General features: G+C 37.8%; 1 protein-coding gene across 6 annotated transcripts in view, besides 1 other annotated feature; it reads right to left on the bottom strand.

The window, feature by feature from the left end:
- LGR5 (leucine rich repeat containing G protein-coupled receptor 5) overlaps nucleotides 1–20,171 on the bottom strand; it is a 147,182-nt gene that overhangs the window by 96,255 nt on the left and 30,756 nt on the right. The window lies entirely within an intron of this gene.
- Nucleotides 17,121–17,321: a silencer, noted in NCBI's record as "peak1816 fragment used in MPRA reporter construct". NCBI's record gives its function as "represses an SCP1 promoter by STARR-seq MPRAs in K562 erythroleukemia cells {active_cell/tissue: K562}" and the evidence as "EXISTENCE:reporter gene assay evidence [ECO:0000049][PMID:32103011]".

Here is a 20,171-nt window from a genome sequence, read left to right as displayed (position 1 = left end):
TGAGCTCAAGTGATGCTCCCACCTCAGCCTAAGTAGCTGGGACAACAGGCATGTGCCACCATTCCTATAGTCCCAGCTACTTCGGAGGCTGTGGTGGGAGGATGACGACCATTCCATGACCTGTCTAATTTTCTTCTTCTTCTTCTTCTTTTTTCTGCAGAGATGGCTTCTCACTATGTTGCCCAGGCTGATCTCAAAGTCCTGGGCTCAAGGGATACTCCCACCTCAGTCTCCCAAAGTGCTGGGACTGCAGGTGTGAGCCACCATGCCTGGCCTAAGTTAACATTTACACAGACAATAGATACACTTTTGGAGTGGTCCATGATTTTGGAGTGTTATTGAAACAAAAAGTATTTCTCATTTCTAGTGGAAATCCCATCAAGAAGGGTCACAGGTAGATTAATTTCTTTTGGCTCTTCTACTGCCCTGATGGGTTGCTATTACTAAAACTGAAGCTCATATTCATAAAACTAAACCTAAATATTAATGGAAGGGATTAGAAGACTTTCATGCCAAGTTGACTACCACTGAAATTGTTAAAATATGCAATCTGTATGAACTCTATAAAATCAATTCAAATCAAATTACTTATGATCATTTGTTCAATAAACAATGCTGTGCACCTGAATTGGAACAACAAAAATGTTGTCTAAAAGGATGCAAATTTAATGCTAAATAAGGACTCACCAAGAGCTTGGATAGCTGCCTAATCCTTCCTGAGGCCCTGAAAATGCCACTCTTAAAAGTCCTGTACGCCATTACTCATCATTGTATGGATAAAATGGTTCAAATTGTTAAAAAGTACTGGTGGGATGGTTATTCTAAAACAACAAAAATGTTTTATAACCATTGTGTGGCTTGTCAAACCAGTAATCCCAGAAAGACCCTTAAAGATTCAAGTGGTATATTTCCATCACCTGCTGGGCCATTTAAACATCTACAAATGGATTTCATTTGATTGCCACCCTTAGTGGGATAACAATATATTATTGTGATAGTGTGTCTGTTTTTAGAATGGATTAAGGCTTTCCCTTGTAGAAAAGCTGATGTCACAACAGTAATAATAATTTTATTTAAAATCATTTTTCCTCTGTGGGCATCCCTGGACAGATTTCCAAAGATAGGGGAACTCACTTTACTAGACAGGTTATGAAACAATTAAATAAGATTTTACAAATCCAATGGCATTACCATTGCCCTTATCATCCTCAGTCCTTTCAAAATGTTACAAGGATGAATGGCATCTTGAAACTAAAATTACCTAAATTAATAAAGTTTATTGGATTAACTTGGCCAAAAGTTTTACCACTGGCCTTAATTGCAATTAGATCAACCCCAATGGGAAATTACAAATTGGCCCCTTATAAAATAATAACAAGGAGACCCGTGTCTTTGAAAATAGAGCCTCATGTATCTCCTGGACTTATTTACTAATATAAATCAATGCTGCAAAACATTGATGCATTTTGCCAAAGTATATTTTCACCAGGTGAAGAAAGCTTCCCATGACCCATCTGCTGATGATCAAACCTTCCATGGCCTAGAACGTGGAAACTGGGTCTTTTGAAAATGACACCAGAGAAAAACTGCCCTTGAGCCTCATTGAAAGGGACCATACTATTTCTTCTTACTACTCACACTGCAGCAAAACTTCAGAGTCTTGAAACTTAGGTCATGTCTCTCAACTAAAGAAAGCTCCCTTAGACTTTTGGGCTTGTCAACCTATAGGTGACTTAAGTAGATGGCATCACACAGTAGACAGCTTTCCCAAGATCACCAAACAAGACTTCATGTCACTATTTTCCATTGGCTAAAGACTTGTTTTTGTTTTACATTTAATACAAAATGTTCAAACTTGTACTCTTACTTAGTTGGGGACTTTCACTCCTCAAACTGAACATCCTCTAAAGTCTACTGTTCAAAGTATAGCTCACTAACCAAAGCAATTGCTGCCTATATAGTCATCTGGATGAACAGGAAAAAACACAGTTAATATTAAAACTTGCTCCCACACATACCTGGGTGAGCAATTCAGGAAACTGGCTTTCTAAAAAAGCTTGGTACCCTCCTCTTGGCAGTTCAGTTCCTATTTATAATAGACTAGCATTAGAAAGAAGCTATTAAAGAAAAGGGGATGGCGTATAACTACTGTTGATTTTATTACTGCTAATTTATCCTTACGCATAGAAAACCTTCACAGAATTGGGTTCAATCTAGGGAGTATTCTAGACTCCCTCTGTAATCAAACCCTTTGGTTTGACACAGATTATGAAGACTGGACCCCTATGTATAATAACACAGATACGACATGAAAACATGACCATGATATCCTTGAACATATCATTAGAAAATTCAGCCAGGTGTGGTGACTAACACAATCCCTCGGAGGCTAAGGTGGGAGGATCGCTTGAGGCCAGGAGTTAGAGATGAGCCTGGGCAACAAAGTGAGACCTCGTACAGAAATAATTTTAAAATGAGCCGGGTGTGGTGGCATGGGCCTATAGCTCCAGCTACCTGGGAGGCTGAGGTGGGAGGATTGCTTGAGCCCAGGAGTTTGAGGCCGCAGTGAGCTATGATTATGCCACTACATTCCAGCCTAAGTGACAGAGTGAGACCCTGTCTCTAAACAAAACAAAACAGACAAAAATCACTAAAAGTACTGTTCAGTGAAAACACTGAAGACAAATGAAATTCCCCCATGGTTTCACTGTATAAAATTAATACTTTTGTTTATTGAATAGAGCAATATTTGAGACATGTTTGAAAAGAAAGCCAATCATCCTTGTTTAGTGATGGTATGCATGGGTTACTTTATCACATTTATAAAATTATTTTTGTTCCTATTCTAATTTAAACCATAACCATTCAACCTGGTAATGTACAAATGTAGAGATGACAAAAAATAACCATGACATTTATATTACTCCCAACTGGTGAGTCATGGGATCCCCTTTGACTTTTTCTCTCAATAATGCTGGGTTGTTCATCTTGTGTGACAACAAAATATATAAAGGTTTTCCACCTAAATGGTCTGGATACTGTGGTTTGGGCTATCTCTTACCCGAAATGACCAGATATGACTCTTTAAATGCTAGTGAAATCCTTAACTTAGGGTCATTTGTACATGAAGTGGCCCTCATAAAGGAGCCCTCTGTGGTCTTCCAAACCTGAGCATACAAAGGCGTTTTCAAATTCCATTCTATTGTAAGAGCCCCTCTTTTTTTTTTTCTCAGCTAGAAGTCTCCGAATTGAAAAAATAACTTATTAGTATTTCAACAACTTTTTAAAGAAGTTTTAATGATACTTTAAATTCTCTTCAAGGAGTACAATCTGAGATAAATAATTTGACCTCAGTGGCACTCCAAAATAAACGGGTTCTTGATATTTTTAGCTGCTCAACACAGCACAACACAATTGTGCCCTACATGGTAAAAAAGACAAAAAAAGTTGTTTTTATGTTGACGAATCAGATATTGTTGCCCAAAATGTAAAGAATATTAACAAATAAATCCAGATTTTACATCAGATAAGCACTGCCTCCTCCATTGATCTATGCAGTTGGTAAAATCATGGCTCCTGGAAATTTTGCTCAGAGGAATTTTTCAACCTTTGATTTTTATTTTCTTTATAGTCATGATGTTGACTCCCCTGGTGCATTTTATCCTCTCACAGGTTTTTAATATTTTTTAACAGCCACTCACATGTCAAACGATTGCTGTCGGGCTCAGACAACTCGAGGACACTGACTATGTACTTCCTGATGGCAGCGATATGACTCTAATGATGATAACAACATCTACCTGACTTTATATCCCAGTAACTGTGTCAACAGCGGCAACTGAGAGTAACAGTATGCTATTTGGTCACACTTTCAGCTTGTTGAGAGGATGAGCAAAAAGGGGGAATTATTAAAGTAAAATTAAAATATAGATAAGGCCTGAAAAATTGTTGAACAAATAAAACCAGCTAGATCTTAAAAAGCAGCCTTAATTGGCCTGGCGTGCTGGCTCACGCCTGTAATCCCAGCACTTTGGGAGGCCAAAGTGGACGGATCACAAGGTCAGGAGTTCGAGACCACCCTAGCCAACATAGTAAACCCTGTCTCTACTAAAAATACAAAAAATTAGCTGAGTGTGGTGGCGGACACCTGTAATCCCAGCTACTCGGGAGGCTGAGGCAGGAGAATCACTTGAACCCAGGAGGCAGAGGTTGCAGTGAGCCGAGATTGCACCACTGCAGTCCAGCCTGGAGACAGAGTGAGACTTCCTCTCAAAAAAAAAAAAAAAAGATAATTGTGTAAGCCAATCAGATTTCTTTTTTGTTTTTGAGACAGGGTCTTGCTCTGTTGCCCAGGCTGGAGTGCAGTGGCACAATCATGCTTCACAGCAGCCTCACCCTCCTGGGCTTGAGCAATCCTTCTGCCTCAGCCTCTCCAGTAGCTGGGAGTACTGGTGAATGCCACCACACCTGGCTAATTTTTATTGTATTTTATTTTATTTTTTGCAGAGATGGCGTCTCAATATGTTGCCCAGTCTAGTCTTGAACTTGTAACCTCAAGTGATCCTCCTGCCTCAGCCTCCCAAAGTCCTGGGATTACAGGCATGAGCCACTGTACCTAGCCCCAAATTTCTTCATTTTATTTCCTCATTTTTTTAAATTAAATGCTTGCTTCTGATGTTCTGACATTGGAACACTAAATTTCTGTTGGTCTGGTATTCTTCAATTCATAAATTACTTCTTACACAAATGAACTCTTTAAAATTTTATTGTGTTTCAGATTTTTCTTTAACAGAAATAATTGAGCTAATATATGTAAAGTACTTAAAACAATACCTAGTACATTATAAACACTACATATTTGCTATTATTATCATTATAATAACATAGACTTTCCCTCTCTTTCTCTTTTTTACCTGAGATATTTACTGTCTGGCATAGAATCCCTTAATGTTTTTACAAATTACAACTCTTGCCTATACAGATATATCAAGAGTATGGTAATGCTAGCATATTGATGTTTATAGTTATCTTGAAAATTTGTTTTTAAATTATAGGATAATTCTAAAAAATGTTTAGAGCTAGCTGGCTTAGGTTCTACTGGTCACGTATTAAATGGTTATATTAATAGCATGTTAATTTTTTAGTGGGAACTTCGAAGAGACACTTAAACCAAAGCTCGTTTGAAAATTTTTACATTATCATTCTAATCTCCATAGATAGAAATAGTTAATGTGACTGGGCATTCCTCTGCCCTATTTATATTATGTCAACAACAAAATGATAGATGTAGATGTAGTTATTTGTGGAGAGGTCACTTTCGTAGGAACCGTGTGTACTCAGCTCACATCCCAAAATAGAGAAGGAAGCAAGCAGTCAACACAACAAAACCAAAGCAAAACATACACAGAAAACAATAATGACAGCAAACCAAACCCTTTGTGAACATCCAGAATCAAAAGCCTGTAACCTCGGGCACAAAGGTTTATGCACTTTCCTGAAGAGGAAAAGACCCCACTCAGAGGGAAGTATTCCTTATTTAAGCGCTCTTGGTGTTTGTTTCGGTTTTAAATCCATAGCAGTGAATTACCAGTAGGAGGTGGACTCAATAGGGCTGGCAATAATGTGGGAAAACAGATTTAAAAGCTCAAATATTAATAGTGATATCAACCATATAGCTGTTTGATCGTTTAGCATAACAGTTCTACATATCTCAAAAACTCTCAAGGGCAACCAGTTTCTTTCCCCCAAGATAGTGTAGTGCTTTATAAACTCTAAAGGACTGTACCATTATTAAAATCATCAGAAAAGCTTAAGCATCCAGGAATACCCTAAGGTTCTATTTCTCCTGCCTCTGTTTTTTCTCTCTACATGTTTTTCTTAGGAAATCTTATTTAGCCACATGACATCAATAAGCACAAGAAATTATGAACAATTTCTAGCCTTGAACTTTCATCTGAGCTACAGATTCTTACCTGTTCCTGAAGGAACTTCTCCAGGTGATTAACTGACCAGTTACCTAACACATCTCAAATTAAACTCATTATTTTCTCTTTTTTCTCCAAACCAGCTTTTCCCTTTCTGTTTTCTCATTTTGATTAATACATCTCCATACTCTCTATTGATCAAGCTAGAAACCTCTGGTTTACATCATCCTATCATTCATCCCCACTCTCATCTAAATGGCCATCAGTCCTATTGATTATATCTCTGAAATGTTTCCACAGTAGTCATAACTGATGTTATTTATGCTAAGCACTTCACATACACGTACACACACACACACCACACACACAAACACACACATGCAACCTAATTAATCTACAGACAACAGTCCATTTTAAAGGTAAAGAAACAGAGGCATGTAGAACTTAAGTAGCTTTCCCAAGGTGACACGGCAGTAAGCAGCAGAGTCAGAGTCTGAACCCAGTTGTGTGACTCCAAGGCTTGTGAGGCCAGCCCCTTTGCTGCTATGCTGCACATTGAAATCCATGGTCTAATTTCCACTTTTTTGCTGCTGTAGTTTAAAATTCAGGTTCTTTGTGTGATCATTTTCACTCTTAAGAAGTACCATACACATGAGGAGGTACCCCAGAAAAAGTCTCCTCTCCACTTTTCTGGTTTCTCATGCCTTCGTGGCATTTCTGGCTTTCCTCTTTGCCAGTCCCTTTGGAGTGACTCCTTATTCAGTCCCCTTCTCTGAACAGTCTACTCTGCTTCTACCTAGCCTTTGGATCTCAGTTTTTGGGTCCTTCTTGACTCCACCGGTTCATCTCTCTCCCAGCCCCAGATTCCACAACTCCAGTTGGAATCCTGAGTTTCCCACTTTTCTGGGAGTAGACACGCAATAGCAGTGGGATCTTAGTGGACTTCTTCGCCTCAGTCTTTCCCTCTTTGCAATCCATCTGGAGTTAATTTTTTTCTTTAAGGATAAAGGTGCTAATATTTTATATGGTGGTTCCTTTTTTTTTCTTATAACAGTAACTTATTTGCCTGGAACTTTACAGTTTACAGGGCTCTTTGATGCCCACAAATTTTCCCAAATTTGTCTTAGGGGTGCAGTAATGTCAGAACCCAATTTACACTATATTCCCAAGAAGCTGCTTTGAAATCTGGAGAAGAAATATTGTTTGTGTGTGTGATATATGAAGATGGATATTTGCAGAGTCCTAACGAAGACTGTGCTATAATTCATGATATGAGTATTCACTAGAATAATATATTCTGCTCTTCTTTATGCATAAAAAATATCAAACTACTGGCTTTGGAAGTAGGAAAGAATTTCCCAGTCTTGACACTATTGATATTTTGAGATGGATGGCTCTTTGTTATGGGGGCTGTCCTGTAGATTGTGGGGGGTTTAGCAGCCTCCCTGGCTCTACCCGCTAAGTGCCAGTAACACCCACCCTCCTTCCAGTTGTGACAATAAATACTTTTCTAGGCTTTTATAGGGTGAATTGTGTTCCCTCAAAATTTGTATGTTGAAGTTCTAACCCCTACTAACTCAGAATGTGACTTTTTTTTTTGTAGATAGTGTCTTTAAGTTTAAATAAGGTCATTAGAGTGGGCTCTAATTTTATATGGCTGTTGTCCTTATAAGGAGAAAATTTGGACATAGACAGGTGGAGGGAAGGCCATGTGGAGACACAAAGAGAAGAGAGCCATCTACAAGCCAAGGAGAGAGCCTTCAGAGGAAACTAACCCTGCCAACACCTTAATCTTGGAATTCCAGCCTCCAGAATTGTGACAAAATAAATAAATTTTAGTTGTTTAAGCCACCCAGTCTGTGGTACTTTGTTATGGCAGTCCCAGCAAACTAATACATACATTGCCAAATAAATGTCCCCTAAGATCAAATCACAGTTGGTTGAGAATCACTGGACTGGTACACATGAATTTCACACAGAAAACTATTAGGTTTGCCTTTTTGATGAAAGAAAAAGTAAACTTCTAATGACTTTTTTTCCCTTCAAAAGAGGGAATCTGAAGTACCTTCCCTCCCCACTTTCCTTTTATACCATAAATCTCTTTTAGCAGATAATTTCATTACTTTATAATTGGACAATGAAAAGAAAAAATAAAAAGCAGACCAAAAGGCTAAAGTGATGCGCTGCATCTAGGAAGTGACTCTGGTGTTGTGTCATTGAGTGTCTGTTATGTCTGTTAAATAATTCTGAGCTGTGGCTGCACCTAATGGTTCCATAATAATTATACAGAAAATACCCCCCAGGCAACATTTCAAAAAAAAATCTTCTAAAAGTTTTAATTAAAATAATGAGGTCTATTTCATTTCTCTCAGGCAGAAACTCCCATTGTTGTCCCTACCTTGTGCAATAATCAATAAACTGAAATATCTTGCAGTTAACATCGTGTGACCCTGGGACCCTTTCATGCCAACAGGATGAAATCTTCCTTTCCCCACCCACATTTCATCGAATATCCTGAAACACATGCAAAGGCTCTGAGTATAAATCATTCTACTATAAAGACACACGCACACATATGTTTAATGCAGCACTATTCACAATAACAAAGACTTGGAACCAACCCACATGCCCATCAATGATAGACTGAATAAAGAAAATGTGGCATATATACACTATGGAATACTATGCAGCCATAAAAAAGAATGAGTTCATGTCTTTTGCAGGGACATGGATGAAGCTAGAAGCCATCATTCTCAGCAAACTATCACAACATCAGAAAACCAAACACTGCATGTTCTCACTCATAAGTGGGAATTGAACAATGAGAACACATGGACACAGGGAGGGGAACATCACACACTGGGGCCTGTCAGGGGGTTGGGGGTAAGGGGAGGGATATCATCAGGACAAATACCTAATGCATGTGGGGCTTAAAACCTATATGATGGTTTGATAGGTGCAGCAAACCACCATGGCACATGTATACCTACGTAACCTGCACGTTCTGCACATGTATCCTGGAACTTACAGTATAATAAATGAAAAAGAAAAAAGGTCAATTTTATCTGTCATCCCATCCCATTTCATGGGTTCAAAAAGCCGTTGCTGGTTGCCCATGATCTGAAGAATGGAGCCTAAATGTTGTTATCTAGCTATCGTATGAGGAAAGATAAAATGAGTTACTGATTTAGGAAAGAGAACAGGGTCTCAGATGACAGTTTTGCCACCCTATTGTTGTTAGACCTTGATCACTTTTATGCTTTTGTGGCCTTAACGCCCTAATGTACTGTAACACTTATTTTATGCCACCATGTGAGGATTAAATGAGATAACGTAGGCAAATGCCCTTAGTGCAGCATCTGATACTTGAAAGGATCTCATCAGCTGTTGGTTGAAGTCTCCATGGTCCAGTCCTAATCCACTGGATTAGGCTTATTTCTCTCTAAACCTTTCCATAGAGTCTATATTCCAGTCAAACCAGACTGCCTTTTATTCTCCCAATGGGTCCTAAGGTTTCCCCCTTCGGATTGACACAAGAAGTACATTTCCAGTAAAATTTTTCTTCAAGAGAAGGGATCTGGAGAATGCTTGTCCTATGGGCTTCTGCTCCCAGGCTTTGCTGGGGTTGTGCAGACTTGAGACACTACAGGTCAAGTGTCTGGTACAAGGTTCTGTCCAGAGGAAGCGTTCACCAACTCTCTCTAGTCACACCTCCCGGCCTGCCTGCTTCATCCCACTTGTTCCTCATTCTCTTTTTTTTTTTTTTTTTTTGAGACAGAGTCTCATTCTGTCATCTAGGCTGGAGTGCAGTGGCATGATCTTGGCTCACTGCAATCTCCACCTCCCAGGTTCAAGCGTGTCTGCCTCAGCCTCCCGAGCAGCTGGGATTACAAGCACAAGCCACCACATCCGGGTAATTTTTGTATTTTTAGTAGAGACGGGGTTTCGTCATGTTGGCCAGGCTGTTCTCGAACTCCTGACCTCAAGTGATCTGCCCGCCTTGGTCTCCCAAAGTGCTGGGATTACAGGCATTAGCTACGGCACCCAGCCTCCTTCCTCATTCTTAAGTGTTTGGCCACTTTCTGCTTCCACTCCTGCCCGCTCTATAGATTGTTCTACATGGCAGCCAAACTTAGATTTCCAAAACAGAAATAGATAATTCCCTGGCACCACCTAAAATTCTCCAATGGATTCCTGTGCTTTCTTAAATGTAATGCAAATGCCTAAGCATGGTTGACAGGGCCCTGAATGCTTGAACAGTGCCTAACTCTCCATCCTCATCCTGAGCCACTGGTCCCTCCATCCCTCCATTACCTTGGTTGTTATACCCACCACTGTGAAGTTCCTCCTACACCCCAAGCCCTTTCCTTTCTCAGGGATTTTTCTGTACATTAACTTCTGCCCATAATGCTCATCTGCACCCCACCGTCCCTTCCAATGGCTGGCTCCTCTTCATTCTTAAATATCTTTCCCCACCCCCCCAGATAAGTCCTCTTGATCTTCCAATATAGAATATGTCCTCTCAAAGAATATGTCCTTTCCTTGCTCTTCTTCCTGCCTCTCCCTGCCTCCCTCCTCTCCATTCTTTTCACTTAGAAAAGTTTGTGGTCACATCTTTCATTACTTACTGACTTACTTTCTTGAATGCCATAAGGGCAAGGGGGTGCTGAATCGCCAGCTTTTAACAGCATTTGGCACGTTGTTGAAACACAGTAAATACTCCAGTTGATTGACCAGCTGAATAAATGCTGCATCCTCTGGCACTATTCCCTTCCTTTCTTATTCTAGGAGGCTTATTTTTAACAAACATGTTTTTTGTAGGTTTGGGAGGATAGTACAGCAAGCAGGTTAAGGATGTTAAAGATTACTGTATCTTCCTTGTGTTTCCTTTAAACAGTTAGCTAAAATGCACTTCTAAAAATGATTATAAATGCTTATCTATTTATCAAGGAGACATTAATGAACAACTCATAGAAAAAAATAAAAGGAAGCCAATAAAACGTATTAATTTTTTAGTTAATTTCCCGTTGAATGTAAAAGATGTAGAAATATGATTGTATTTTAAAATCAAATTGAGAGGACACAGATTCTACTCTGATTCGCAATTGAATAGTATGTGAGCCTGCACAGACACATAAACTTATTCTTAAAGTGAAAATGTCCTTCGTGAAATAGAACAATCTTCACTTTCTTACCTTAGTGATATGGAGAATGTGAATGTAATGCTTTTAAAGTGTATTCTGAGCTTCTTTGAAGTGCCCAGAATATAATTAACGAGTTCTTGTTATTTTTGCAATGCTTTCAAGCATTTTAAACCCAAAACAAAGGAGTAAAAACAGAAATGTAATTCTCCAAAAGAATAAAATATTACAAGATAGCCCCTGAATTGTATTTGATGACCTATGTGTTTATTTTAAACATTCCCTTTCTTTAAACTAAAATAATCCTATGCATACTGATGTGCATTGGAAAAATGAGAGACAAAAATTTCCCCATGCCATAGTTAGCACTTTTAAATTATGCTATGGGAATAATTTTCTAGCTAAAGTTTGTCTTTACTTCAATCTGGGACTTATTGACCAACACAGAAAAGACATTATTCAATTTCAAGTAAACAGTTTTCCCATTCAATTTAACCAAGGTTCCAGAAGAGGGAGCAGAGTCAACAATTAGAGAAGGGAGATTTTCAAAACTCAGATACCAGTGAAAAGACCAAATGCTGAATTAATTTGAGAAATATGTAAGACTTCATTTTAGCTCCCAATAACATGGCTTATTTATTTGCCTTCCAAAAGCATAAAGTTGGTCATCTGTCTTTCCTTAACGTCTGCCATAGAACATTCATTTATATGCTGACAAGCCTCTCAAGAGCCAATAAGTCACTGATGCACTTTCAAAAACTGAAGGTATAATAATTCACTGTTATTGGTTAATAAGTTACAAAGTGTAAGAAAATATAAAAATAAGTATAAAATTTAAAGTCTTTTTAGAACAAGTCTGACTACATATATAATCAGAAATTCAAAATGTCAGTGTAAGTTATATCCAATGTAAAATCAATTATTAACTAAGAAAAGATGCAAGAGAAAAAAAATGAGGATATCTCAAAAAGGAGAAGACCCATGCTTATATCTTTATAATGAACCTGTTAAAGTAACTGAGGTATGGGTGGGAACTCAAGAAGCGCATATTGATGATTACGCTAAAGGAGCCTCAGAGGCAAGGAGTTGTATCCACCATGAGAGTGAGTTTGCAAATATTACTATAAGTGAAACAGTAAGAAGTGGAGAGCTAACACTCATGGAAATTTACCACTAGTTGACACATGGCCAACTCCAGCTGCCCTAGAGTTGGGGCATGCACAGCTTGTGTGGCTGTGTTAGTGCTACTTACTATGTCCCTGGAAGTTAGTGTCATGAAAGGAGACCATTATTAAAAAGAAAAATTTCCAAGGCAGTTAGTAGACTACATTATCAGCAGTAAGATAAGGATTTTATCAATTCATACAAAAGGGTGTAGTTTTAAATCTGTTTAATGAGTATGAAGCTTTTTATTCTTTTATTTTACTTTTTAAAAATTTTATTCTAGGTTAAAATGATATATATGTACAATGTATATTTTATTATCACATATATAATACATAGTATATTTCATATATATTACATTATCACATATAATATATATTATATTATTAAATGTATACATTTTCATGTTTTTTTAAAGAACTACAAACCTTATAATGAAGAAACAAAAAAGCCATTAGGTCCGTGTCCCACCCTTTCCACTCCTGATTCCCATTTCCCAGAGGCATCCATTTGCACCGTTTAGTGTGGAGTCTCAGGGGTCACTGTCTTCAGATTGTAAATCACCAGTCTTCTACCAGGGTTATTGTTTGTGGTGAGAAAACGGGTGGTGAGGAGACAGTTGCCTGGCTGTGTGAGCTAAGGGATGTGTTTAACTGCTTCTTATTAAGACTTTCAGTGGATCTTCCTATTTTTGCCAGTACTCTGACCTTCCCTTTTTAGGGTTTTATGGCAGGAATTGGCTTGCTTCTTGCCTTATTCCATGTCATTTTCTCTTAAGACATTTCACAAATTTGTTAATGTACCTGTCTACTATAATTTCTTTCCTGTTTTCTTTATCTTTGTAGGTTTATGCTTTTTAAGTTCCTTTTCTGTCACTTGAGATAAACATTTGTTTAATCGGCTATATTTTTCTTAAGCTGGGACCACATAGCAGTTATGCAAATATCTGCTTGTTTAGGTATAACGTTTTATTTTTCTAATCCATGCCAACCTGATTAAAAATAGCCACAACATATTCTCTCCATAACTTTGCTTGTAGTCACACTTAGGAACTTAGTTCCCAACAGATTTCTTTCCCAAAATCATGCTGAAAGTTCCAGCCTTGGCTGGGATGACTCATCTCCCTGCCAAGAACTAGTTCTTTTGACCATAGTGTGGTGTCTGCTGTTTACCTCTTCTCCTGCCCTGATTTGGCTGTGGTAATGTGTCAAGATGCCATCAACGATCCACCAGTCAGCTATTTTAGATGCTTAACTTTGGCGTTTTATATCTGAGACAAAAAAGTATTCAGGGCTCCACTGGTACCACTGTCACCCATGCTACCACCATGGCAAATCCCACTGCCCTTGACCCAGACTTCTCCAGTTAGGCACAGTTCCTTTTAGATACTTCCTAGAAGTAGATGGATCATTCCTCAGTCAGGCTTGAACCCTAGAGTAGACACACATTGGGGAGAAGTTAAGCAATTTACTCAGAATGATCTCACTTAGAAGTTTGTATGCCTATGAAGAACATGTCCTTAACTACTGCATGTCAACAAAACTGTCAATACATTTTCCATTAGTTAGGAAGAGCTTCTTGAAGCAGATGGGATTTCAGTAGCCCTTTTTCAATATCAAATGAAGAATAGTAAGGTCAGGTTGGTATTCAGACGAAGTGGTTGGTGTTCCAGCGAACCACTGGAACTGGTGGGTTTGGGTGAATTTACTGTCCACCTATTAATCTGGCTGGCTGGATAGTGTCCTAATATTCCCTCATATGTGAGCCCCCATTTAACCTTCTGCTCAAAGAGGACAACCTTCCTTAACAGAGGAACCCTGCGTGTCAATCCCCAACATATCAGTGATTTTTCTATCCTGTTAGAATCTCCAAGCTAACTCTCAAGGTTCGTCCAAGGAGGAAAGGATGTATAGAATAAAGATCTTCATTTTCTAAGTAAGATAAAAATGGTAAAAGTTTCATTGTCCTCTCAGATTTAATATAAAATCTATATTCCCATAAAAATCTCTCCTAGATCTTAGCTGATTAGGAATTAATCTCTTCTTCCACTAAACTCTCTGAGAATTTTCTTTTTACTTATATTAAACTGTTAATCACAACCTTTCTTTTGTTAGGGTTCCAAGAGGCCCTGACACTTAAACTGAGTCTTGAAAAGAAATATCAGCTATGATAAGGGGGGGATGAGTGAGAGAAGGAAAAGCATTTCTGGTAGGAGAACAGCATGTACAAGAGCGTCGCAGCATAAGAGAGCAGGCTGTTCTGCAGAAACTACAATAGATTGGCATAGTTGAATGGAAGTGCTTGTGTTGCAACACGACCCATTAGGAGGCCTGAAAAGCATCAACAGCCAAGGCCAGATCAAGCTGGCCTCATATGTCACGTTGAGAAGTTCAGACTATCCTGGAGGCTCTGGGAGCCACTCTAGGACTTTAAGCAGGGAAATGACATCATCTTTGGATTTAGTAAATCTCTTGGGTGGCAGTTCTTTTTCTTTTGTTTTAAATTAAAGACGTATAAAGGGAACAGTGTTTTAATTTTGGAGATTGTATAGTATATTTTAGTTTATTTTCCTTCTTTCTTGATAGCCAACTTTTTTTTGTCATTTTTGTGTCATTATTCCATATTAATTTTGAATTAGATGCACTAACAGGCTTAAATTAGAACAATTCTTCACACGTTCTTTCATTTGTGGTCAAGCAATCTTCCTAGATGCATTTTTGGGAGACTTACATGTCTGCTAGCCTCAGATTGGCTGAGAATCTTCTTGAACCCTACTTGCAATTCCAATTAGTCACAGATCAAAACATTAATGTGGACAGATTAAAGCAGAAGCCCTCATGCTTTATTTCCTAATATCATCTGTCTTTGCTTTGAAAAGCACACCAACGGAATCTTCTGCATCTGTACACCCCAAAGGCAATTTAATCTCCCTTGGCCAACATTAAAGCTTTAAAGTAACTCTATGCTATGATGTATTTTTCCTCCTTTTCCAAGTTCAAGAATTACATAATTCACTTTTTATCAGACTCATTCTAGAAGACGATCAGTTGCTACATTGTTTATAGTTTTGAACATTATCTAAAAGAAGCCCTACAAGCTTAAAATTAAGTAAATTGATTTTTCCACATACTGTCATGTGAAATTGAATACAGGCAAGGACATAATCTAGAGAGTATTAACATATGTTGCTTTGTAATATATTTACTAATGGTAGTATTTTAAAAGATTGGGGAACTAAACCATCCGTTTATAAACTTTAAATACCAAAATAACTTCTCCCCACTTACTGGGTCGATTTTAAAATAGATTTTTCTGTAGGTGTGGGTCTCCCACCTAAACTGAAGCTTATCCTTTAAAGTGCCAAGACAGTTTCAATGTTAAAAATTGGTATAGGAATATTTTAGTAATTTATTCTATACTTTACTGTCTTAAAAAGAATTTTAATTTTTCTTATCATTCATGGTCACCATCTTATAAACACCAGTACCTGCTCGGGAGCAACTTTTGAAACTAATGAGTGAAAACTGTGGGATTCCTTGTTAACACACCAAATGGTGATAGATAGCTTTGCTTTATTTTTTGGTTCTAATTTCTGAATTGTTTATCCTTTGCTGTTTTTTGGGTTATTAGTTGATAAGTCCTGCAGTTATCAATGAAAAGTGAAAGGGATTTTTTTTTTTGTATTTAGTTTTTATAGAATTGAAATATATATTCAACGTACATTCAAAAGCCAAATAAGAAAGCTTATCTGGATTATATGTAAAAGAAAACAAATAGGATGTGAAAGAGATCCCAGGGCTCATTTTTGAAGAGATTTTAGTGCATGAGATTTGTACAGTAATATTCGACACTCAGCATCCTTTTTCAACTCTTGGATTTGTTTTAAGAGGCTGAAGTTGCAAGAAGACTGACCTCTGGGAAAGCGAGGTGTTGTTACTTAGCTACTTGGTAGGATGGTAAACTGACTCTAAATTTTTAATGATTGCAAATGAATACAGAGTGTATTACTTCAGGATCTAAGGATATATAGATAATTGTTCTGTAATTTCATTTGTTTTATATATAATAATAAAACACTAGTAATCTGGTAAATTGAATAATCATATTCTTAAAATTAAGGATGACTTAAATTATCACTGCAAATTTATCCCTCTTTTTAAACCAAATTCTAAATTTTTATATTTATATTTATTTATTTATTTAATAAAAATATTTTGTAGTTACAGGATCTCACTATGTTGCCCCGGTTGGTCTTGAACTCCCGAGTTCAAGGGATCCTCCCACCTCAGCCTCCTGAAGTGCTGGGATTAGAGGCATGAGCCATTATGCCCCGACTTAAAATTTTTTTTAAATGAATAAAACAGACAGGGCAGTGGAAATTAACCAAAATGCCATTCATTTTTCAGTTTCTTTCTGAAAACTCAGCTTGTCACATTAATTCATTTAAAGTCCTGCCATTCATCATTCAACAAATTAATAATGAATATTTTTTTAAGTGTTGAAAAGATGATAATTTATAAACCTACTACACAATTTCCTCCCAAATCATAATTCATTCACTTATTTATTCACTCAACCAACATTTCTATGAATGTTGATTGTTAGAATCTTCTGTGTGCCAGATCCATGATGTGCTGGGAATGTAAGATCCTGTAAGACATGGCCACCGTTAAAATCTTTCAGACTAGATTGTAATCTCTTTGAGGGTGGAGATTTAGCAATAATTAAATACTAAAATCGATTATGTTCATATATGAATTATTGATAGCATAGTATATGTGCACTGAAGCTTCTATCACTCTATTCATTGAATACTCACTCTTGGGGAGAGAGAATTTAACCTAAAGCCATAAAGGTTGCTCCCAGATATTCCAAGTGAATTCTACTATCCACTTAGGATTAGGTTTGCATTGTCCTTTTTGATCATAGAATGTGCTTTATACAATCAACGTGTGCTGTGGAATTCATATGCCATGTGTAACACATATTTTGCTACTGACTAGAGTGATGGAAGTCAGATGTTAGAAGCTCTTGTTTAGCCAGTATTCTTAATAGTGTTACAATGCCAGTGTTGAGAGACAAGGATCACACCCTTGTGGTATGGATCCCCCAGCCCTATCCTTTCTCAGGTTATGTTTGTTTAACAACATTCTTGAAACAAAGGCTTTGCCTATTTTCCATTTCAAAAGAATATTTCTTCTTGTAAAATCTCACACAAGATAGGAGGACATGTTGTGGTTGTTTGATGTGGGAGATATGTTTGAATAAGGACAGCTTTGTGAAACCTATTATATCTATTGGGGCAGCTCTCCCTTGGAGTGATTTCCCTGTTTACTGGGTATGTATCTGTGGGCATACTTGCTCCGGGGAGAGCCTGGTGTCCTGGAAAGAACACTGACCTGGAGGTCAGACGGCTTCTGTTCTGCCATGTATGAGGCATGGAAACTTGAGCAAGTTACCTTTTGCATCAGTTTCCTTGTTTATAAAATGGGGATAATAATAGTTATCTCATAGGGCTATTCTAAGGTTTAAATGGCATTATAATGTATGTATATGCATGCATTTTGTCATGAATTGTACATGGTATATAAAATTAGTATATGAGTAAGTAAAAAGTATTCTTATTAACTAAGAATGTTATATATGCTGCAGGCACATCACTATGTTTAAAAAAATTTCACTAGGTTTTTGAGGAACAGGTGGTGTGTGGTTACATGAATAAATTCTTTAGTGATGATTTCTGAGATTTTGGTGCACCCATTACCCAAGCAGTGAACACTGTACCCAATGTGTCGTCTTTTATCCCTCACCGCCCTTCTACCCTTTTCCCTGAGTCCCCAAAGTTTATTTTATCATTCTGAAGGCATGTCACTAAGACACAAAGACTATTACAAGTATGTTAGAATATGTTGTTTTTTTCCCTCATGATTCAGAATATACTACATACTCTTTTAGTAATAATGATAGCTAATATTTATTGAGTGCTATTATGTCACAGGCACTGTGCTTGGCCTATTCAGTCTCCATAATGATCCTTTGTGGTGGGGGCTGTTATTACTCCTGTTTTATAGGAAGGAAACTGAGTCACAGAGAAGCTAAATATCCTGCCCATGATCACTAGCTGGTAAGTTGCGGAGGATTCAAAACAAATTTTCTTAGAGCCCTCACTCTTAAAAAAAAAAAAACAAAACAGCTTTATTGAGCTATAATTCATATACCATACAACTCACCTAAAGTATTACAATTCAGTGATTTTTAGTATATCCACATAGTTCTCCAACCATTACCAAAATCTAACTTCAGACATTTTCATCACCCAGAAATCCCATGTCCATTAGCAGTCACTAACCAGTCCAACATCCTCCTACTCCTCAGCTGTAAGCAACATAATCTGCCTTCTGTCTCTAGTTCTGTCAGAATAGATTTGCCTATTCTGGACATTTTGTACAAACAGACTCACACACAAGGCTCATTCATATTGTATCATGTATCAGTACTTAATTTCTTTTAATTGCTGAATAATTTTCCATTGTGTAGATATACCACACTGTATTTATCCATTCATCAGTTGGTGGACATTTGGGTTATTTCCACATTTTGATAGAGCCCTTATTCTTACCCATTATGGTTGACTTCATTATTTATTAATCATTTACTATATTATTATTAAAAAGTTTTGATTATTAGGTAGCTCTGATAATTTGCCTTCCTGATAAAAAGAATTTGTTAATTCATTAAACATTTACTGAACAAATACTGTACACCAGATAGGTGTGTCAGGGATCTGAACAACATTCCTGTCCTCATGGGGAGGGGAGACAAACAAATAGTTATGAATTTGGTAAGTGCTCTAATAAAGATGTAACCAAGATGCTGCGGGAGCTCATTGGAGGGGAGCATACTTCAGACAAGGGGAACATGGGTAAGATGGGGCAGAAAAGCTCCATTGAGGGGTGGCCTAGTGCCTAATCTAGGGATGAAGAGGGATCATCTAGGTAGAGTAGAGTGAGGAAGACAATCTTGGCCTCACGTGCAGGGACAGCACATGTTCTGTCAGAGATGGTTTGTTGTAAGGTGTCCATGAGGCAGTGCAGAAAGTTGAGCCTGCCTAGAGATGGGGTGGGAGTAAGATTATAGCAAGATTTATAGGCTGCGTTTGGATTTTATCTCATACTCTAGTGTTTCCCAAACTCATTATTTTGCTATAAGGACAGTAACTTAAATATGATTCTATACACATTTGTGTTACGTATGTGTATACACACATCTACATACATAAAGACATATATGTGTGTATGTAGACATATCTATAGACCTATGGATATATATTATTGGACTCAAATTACCTAGGGAAGTTAAATAAAAGTGGAAAAGATCCATCATTACCTGTAAATAGAAAACCAGTATCATCTGTCATACATGGAAGGAAACTGTTAAAGTACATACAATGAAAACCAAACAATGTTAATAAATTCTAGTTATATTCCTAGTTAGCTGCTGCCAAGTCAAACTGAGCCTGAAGCCTGTTCTCCCTTTGATAAAAAGGGAGTTTAGTGAGAGCAACAGAGGTGTGGAAGACAAACTAACCCTGGCTAAGACTTTCTCATTGATGAAGCCAGAAGGGCTGAAGGGAAATTGAAAAGGGAGCAACTTTCCCTTTAGGTGATAAGATGTTTTAGATTTCATGACCCAGTATCAACTAAGATCACTTTGGATACTGCTGGTGGTATGGATACCCCCAGGAGGCACTGAAGGTTTTTTAGCAGAGGTAGAAATGTCTCCCTGGTGGTGGCCTGGGAATGAATTAGAGGACAGTCAGCCCACAGCGGGTCACTTCAATAATCCAGGTGAGAAGGGAGGACAAGAAAGGGCCCTGCACACTGGAATGTGTGTTGTGCGATGGTACTCTGCCTAGAGGTGAGCCTTCATTAGGTTCCTGCTT

This window comes from Homo sapiens, chromosome 12 (assembly GCF_000001405.40).
Source record: "Homo sapiens chromosome 12, GRCh38.p14 Primary Assembly".
Classification (NCBI taxonomy): domain Eukaryota; kingdom Metazoa; phylum Chordata; class Mammalia; order Primates; family Hominidae; genus Homo; species Homo sapiens.
Note: the sequence above shows the minus strand (reverse complement) of the source record. Positions and strands in the feature narration are given on the sequence as shown.